We start from the raw sequence: 5346 nt of genomic DNA on the forward strand, positions 1-5346 counted from the left end.
ACTAAAAGACAAAGACTCCCAGGGAAAAAAGATTTAAACCCCAAGATCAAAATACATGTTTTCTAGAACTGGCACATTATCAAGAGAACCTGACCCTGATCATCTATGCTGGTCTCTAATGGCTCCAAGTATTGAACCTTTTCTTTATGTTAGTCAGTGTTAATAGAAACCCAATTAGTAGCCAAAATCTGACTTGATCATCTAATATAGTGATCTCATTTGATCTTTGTCACATTGCTGAATGTTAAGAACTATTATTATTTATTCCATTTTACAGATGAGGAAAGTGAGACCCAGAAAATTCTGCTGGTTGTTGAATAGCATAGAGCTGTTGAGTTGCCATTTGGTCTGTGATAGAGTCTATGTTTTAACCACTGTCACTTAATTTTGTTTCTGATCTCACCAGATACAGTATCCATGCCTAGTCAGAACTATAGCATCATATCTGAATTTAACCTCTTTGGCTTCTCAGCCTTCCCCCAGCACCTCCTGCCCATCTTGTTCCTGCTGTACCTCCTGATGTTCCTGTTCACATTGCTGGGCAACCTTCTCATCATGGCCACAATCTGGATTGAACACAGACTCCACACACCCATGTACCTCTTCTTGTGCACCCTCTCCGTCTCTGAGATTCTGTTCACTGTTGCCATCACCCCTCGCATGCTGGCTGATCTGCTTTCCACCCATCATTCCATCACCTTTGTGGCTTGTGCCAACCAGATGTTCTTCTCCTTCATGTTTGGCTTCACTCACTCCTTCCTTCTCCTGGTCATGGGCTATGATCGCTATGTGGCCATCTGCCACCCACTGCGTTACAATGTGCTCATGAGCCCCCGTGACTGTGCCCATCTTGTGGCCTGTACCTGGGCTGGTGGCTCAGTCATGGGGATGATGGTGACAACGATAGTTTTCCACCTCACTTTCTGTGGGTCTAATGTGATCCACCATTTTTTCTGTCATGTGCTTTCCCTCTTGAAGTTGGCCTGTGAAAACAAGACATCATCTGTCATCATGGGTGTGATGCTGGTGTGTGTCACAGCCCTGATAGGCTGTTTATTCCTCATCATCCTCTCCTATGTCTTCATTGTGGCTGCCATCTTGAGGATTCCCTCTGCCGAAGGCCGGCACAAGACATTTTCTACGTGTGTATCCCACCTCACTGTGGTGGTCACGCACTATAGTTTTGCCTCCTTTATCTACCTCAAGCCCAAGGGCCTCCATTCTATGTACAGTGACGCCTTGATGGCCACCACCTATACTGTCTTCACCCCCTTCCTTAGCCCAATCATTTTCAGCCTAAGGAACAAGGAGCTGAAGAATGCCATAAATAAAAACTTTTACAGAAAATTCTGTCCTCCAAGTTCCTGAGCGCCAGTTTGGTGGTGATGAAATATAATAATGTGTATCTCCATAGGGCTGTTGTAAGTGTTCAGGTATGTGAAAATATGTGTTTGATACATACTAGCTATTGTTTTCCCTTCCCTTTTTGCTTAAGCTCAAGTGATCATAATCTTTTCTTTATGAGCCATTATGATGACCTTTATCCCATTATCTGTGCCTAGAAATGTGTTTTCTGTCCACGGACAGGTGGGGATCATCACGTGGATGTGTCTGGGCACTTATGAACACAGTTCTTCTTGAATGGACAGGCAAAAAAGATTTTATTTTCCCCTAGTGTAAGAAAAAGCAAGAATAACATGATAGTCATAAATGCCACCCAGCACTGAGCTTTTTCTATGTATTGGCACTGTGTCCAGTGTTTTATAAATATTATCCTTTTAATTAGAAGAAATGTACAAAGGAAAATAAACTATTTGCCTCAGATAAACTGGTTTCTTATTTAAAGTTCCTCACTGTCTTTGGGAGAGATATACCCTAAGTTTGTGTGTGGATATTAATATGTTGAGTTGAATGAAAGATGTTAGAATGCAAACGTTGAGAGAGGGCAAGAAGGAGATATATATATATATACACATACATATATACACACACACATATATATATACATATATATGTATACATATATATATACATACATATGTATACATATATACATATATATATATACATACATATGTATACATATATACATATATATGTATACATATATATGTATACATATATACAGAGACAGAGACAGAAGAAAGAGAGAGAGATACAGAGACAGAAGAAAGAGCAAAAGACAGAGAGAGAGAGAGGGAGAGAGAGAAAGCAGGTGTCAAGTAAAAAGAGAGTTCTTTAAATTTTTTATCTGTACAGGAAATGTAATAACTAAGAATTTGGGGCAAAATAGAAAAAAGGAGGTTGGTAATAGGGCTTTAATATGTCCTAATAATAGGGCTAATAAGGTAGCCTAATAAGATAGCCACGTGTCTCATCCCAGCGTTTTTGACACAGTTGCTCTGCAGTCTCAATGTGTCATTCTAAGATATGTACTTCCTTGCCTCCAATGGATGTATCAATTTTCTGGTTTTCTGTTTCTGGCCATTGGTTCCACCAGCTGAGGAATGAATATTATTTTTACAGTGTGACTGCTCTTCTAATGCTACTCATAGTGCCATTCACCTGTGCTTCCTGCTGCTGCTGGAATGTGAAGGTCAACATGGAAAGAGATTTCATTCTAGGAAAGCAGAGATCATGGCCTTAAAAAGTCAAAAGGTGACATGGTTGGAAGAAGTTTTATTCTTTGTTTATGTTATAAAACTCCAAACAAAAACAAACTATCCTTTCCCTTATCCTGCATACTCTGGGCAAGACTCGCATGTGTGCTTCTCATCGTTGCATGTCTGCTATGGTTGCACCATAGCAACCAGTGAGAGACCCTCTGGGCATATGGTCACAGATGATGAAGTGACATAGTTAATGATGGAAATGGCATTAAATGTGTCCTATGAAAGTGCTACAGAAGCAGAACTTTCTATACAAATAAATCAAAAATTTTTCCAAGAGCCAAGCTGTTGTGAGTGTTAACCACTTTGTTACCTTTTTCTTCCACTTTCTTTTGACTCATGTTGCTATGGTATATCTTTCTCCATCTGTTTACTTTTCACTTATATATGCCTTTATATTTACAGGGTTTTCTTGTTAAAAAAAAAACTTATATCTGAGTCTTATTTTTTTGACCCCCTGTGACAATCTCTGTATTTTAATTGATGCGTTTTAATTAATAATTAACTAAATCGTTTCTTACTATAGTCACTCTGTTATGCTAGCAATTACTAGGTCTTAATCTTCATTCCTACTATTTTTTAGTACCCAATAACCATTCCCACTTCCCCCGGAAGCCCCAACTACCCTTAACAGCCTCTGTTACCCATTCTACTTTCTATCTTCATAAGTTCAATTGTTTTAATTCTTAGCTTCCACAAATAAGTGATACCATGCAAAGTTTGTCTTTCTGTGTCTGGCGTATTTTACTGAATATATTGTCCTCAAGTTCCATCCATGTGGTTACAAATGACAGAATCTCATTCTGAATAGTACTCCATCATGTATATGTACCACATTTTCTTTATCTATTCAACTGTTGATGGACACTTTGATTGCTTCCAAATCTTGGCTATTGTGAATAGTGCTGGAATAAATATAGGACAGCAGGTATCTCTTTGATACACTGATTTCTTTTCTTTGGGGAATATACCCAGCAGTGGGATTACTGGATGTTATGGTAGCTGTTTTTTTCATTTCTTGAGGGACTTCCAAACTGTTCTCCATAGTGGTGGTACTAACTTACATCCCCAACAACAGTGTACAAGGGTTCCCTTTTCTCCTCATCCTCACCAGCATTTGTTATTTCCTATCTTTTGGATAGAAGCCATTTTTACTGGGATAAGATGATTTCTTATTGTAGTTTTGATTTCCATTTCTCTGCTAAATCAATGATGTTCAGGATCTTTTAATATGCCTGTTTGCTTTTTCTATGTCTTCTTCTGAGTAATGTCTGTTCATATCTTTTGCCACTTTAAAAAACATATTTTGTGTCTGTGTGTATATAGTACGTGTATATATTTATGGGTCACTTGAGATGTTTTCATACAGGAATGCAATAAATAATAATCATACCATGCAAATGGGGTATCCACCCCCTCAAGCATGTATCTTTTGTGTTAAAAACAATCCTGCTATACTTTTAGTTATTTTAAAATGTACAATTACATTATTATTGAATATAGTCACCCTGTTGTGCTATCAAATATCAAATGTTATTCATTCTAACTACTTTTTGTACTCATTAACCATCTGCCCCTGCTCCCCCAATCACCCATCACTACCCTTCCCAGCCTCTGGCAACTTCATGAGTTCAACTGTTTTGATTTTTAGATCCCACAAATATTTGAGAACATGTGATGTTTGTATTTCTGTGCCTGGCTTACCAAAACCTATGGAATACAGTGAGAGCAGCAATAAGAGGAACGTTTATAGCTCTCACTGTATCCCATAGGTTTTGATATATTGGGGTTCCATTATCATTTGCTTAATAAAATTTTTCAATTTCCTTCTCAATTTCTTTGTGGACCAACTGGTCATTCTGGAGCATTTTGTTTAATTCCCATGTGTTTGTATAGTTTCCAAATTTTCTTGTATTATTTCTTTCCATTTTAGGCCACTGTGATCAGAGAAGATGCTTGATATTATTTCAGTTTTTTGAATGTTTTCAGACGTGTTTTGTAATCAAACATCTGGTGTTTCCTTGAGAATGATCTATGTGCTGAGGAAAAGAATGTATATTCTGCAGCCATTGGAGGAAATGTCCTGTAAATATCAATTAGGTCCAAGAGACAACAACCTTCTTGTCTCTTTTTATAGTTTTTGTCTTGACATCTATATTGTGTGATATAAATATAGGTACTCCCATGCTTTTTAAACTTCCATTGACATGATGTGTCTTTTTCTATCCCATCATTCTTGGACTAAGTATGTTTTTACAAGTGAAATGTGCTTCTTGAAGGCAACAAATCATTGGGTCTTTTTTATTTTTTAATCCACGGAGCCACTCTATGTCTTTTGATTGAAGAGTTTAGTTTATTTACATTCCATGTTATGATTGATAAGTAAGGACTGTCTTGGAAAGGCTTTATTTCTCTTTCATCTTTGAAGAACATTTTCACTGAATTTACTATTCTAGGGTAAAAGATTTTTCCTTCAGCACTTTAAATATGTCCTGTCACTCTCTCCTGGCCTGCAAGGTTTCTACTGAAAAGTCCACTGCCAGATGTGTTGGAGCTCTATTTTATGTTGTTTCTTTTCTCTTGCTGCTTTTAGGATCCTTTCTTTAACCTTAACCTTTTAGAGTTTGATTATTAAATGCCTTGTGGTAGTCTACTTTGGGTTAAATGTGCTGGGTGT

The 5346-nt window shown here is 37.5% G+C and overlaps 1 protein-coding gene across 1 annotated transcript; it reads left to right on the forward strand.

The window, feature by feature from the left end:
• The first annotated feature begins 417 nt into the window (after positions 1–417).
• Positions 418–1368, forward strand: OR10H4 (olfactory receptor family 10 subfamily H member 4). Its single transcript, NM_001004465.1, has one exon. It carries the CDS (start codon positions 418–420, stop codon positions 1366–1368), a length of 951 nt encoding a protein of 316 aa, NP_001004465.1.
• The last annotated feature ends 3978 nt before the right edge of the window (positions 1369–5346 follow it).

Source organism: Homo sapiens, chromosome 19 (assembly GCF_000001405.40).
Source record: "Homo sapiens chromosome 19, GRCh38.p14 Primary Assembly".
NCBI lineage: Eukaryota > Metazoa > Chordata > Mammalia > Primates > Hominidae > Homo > Homo sapiens.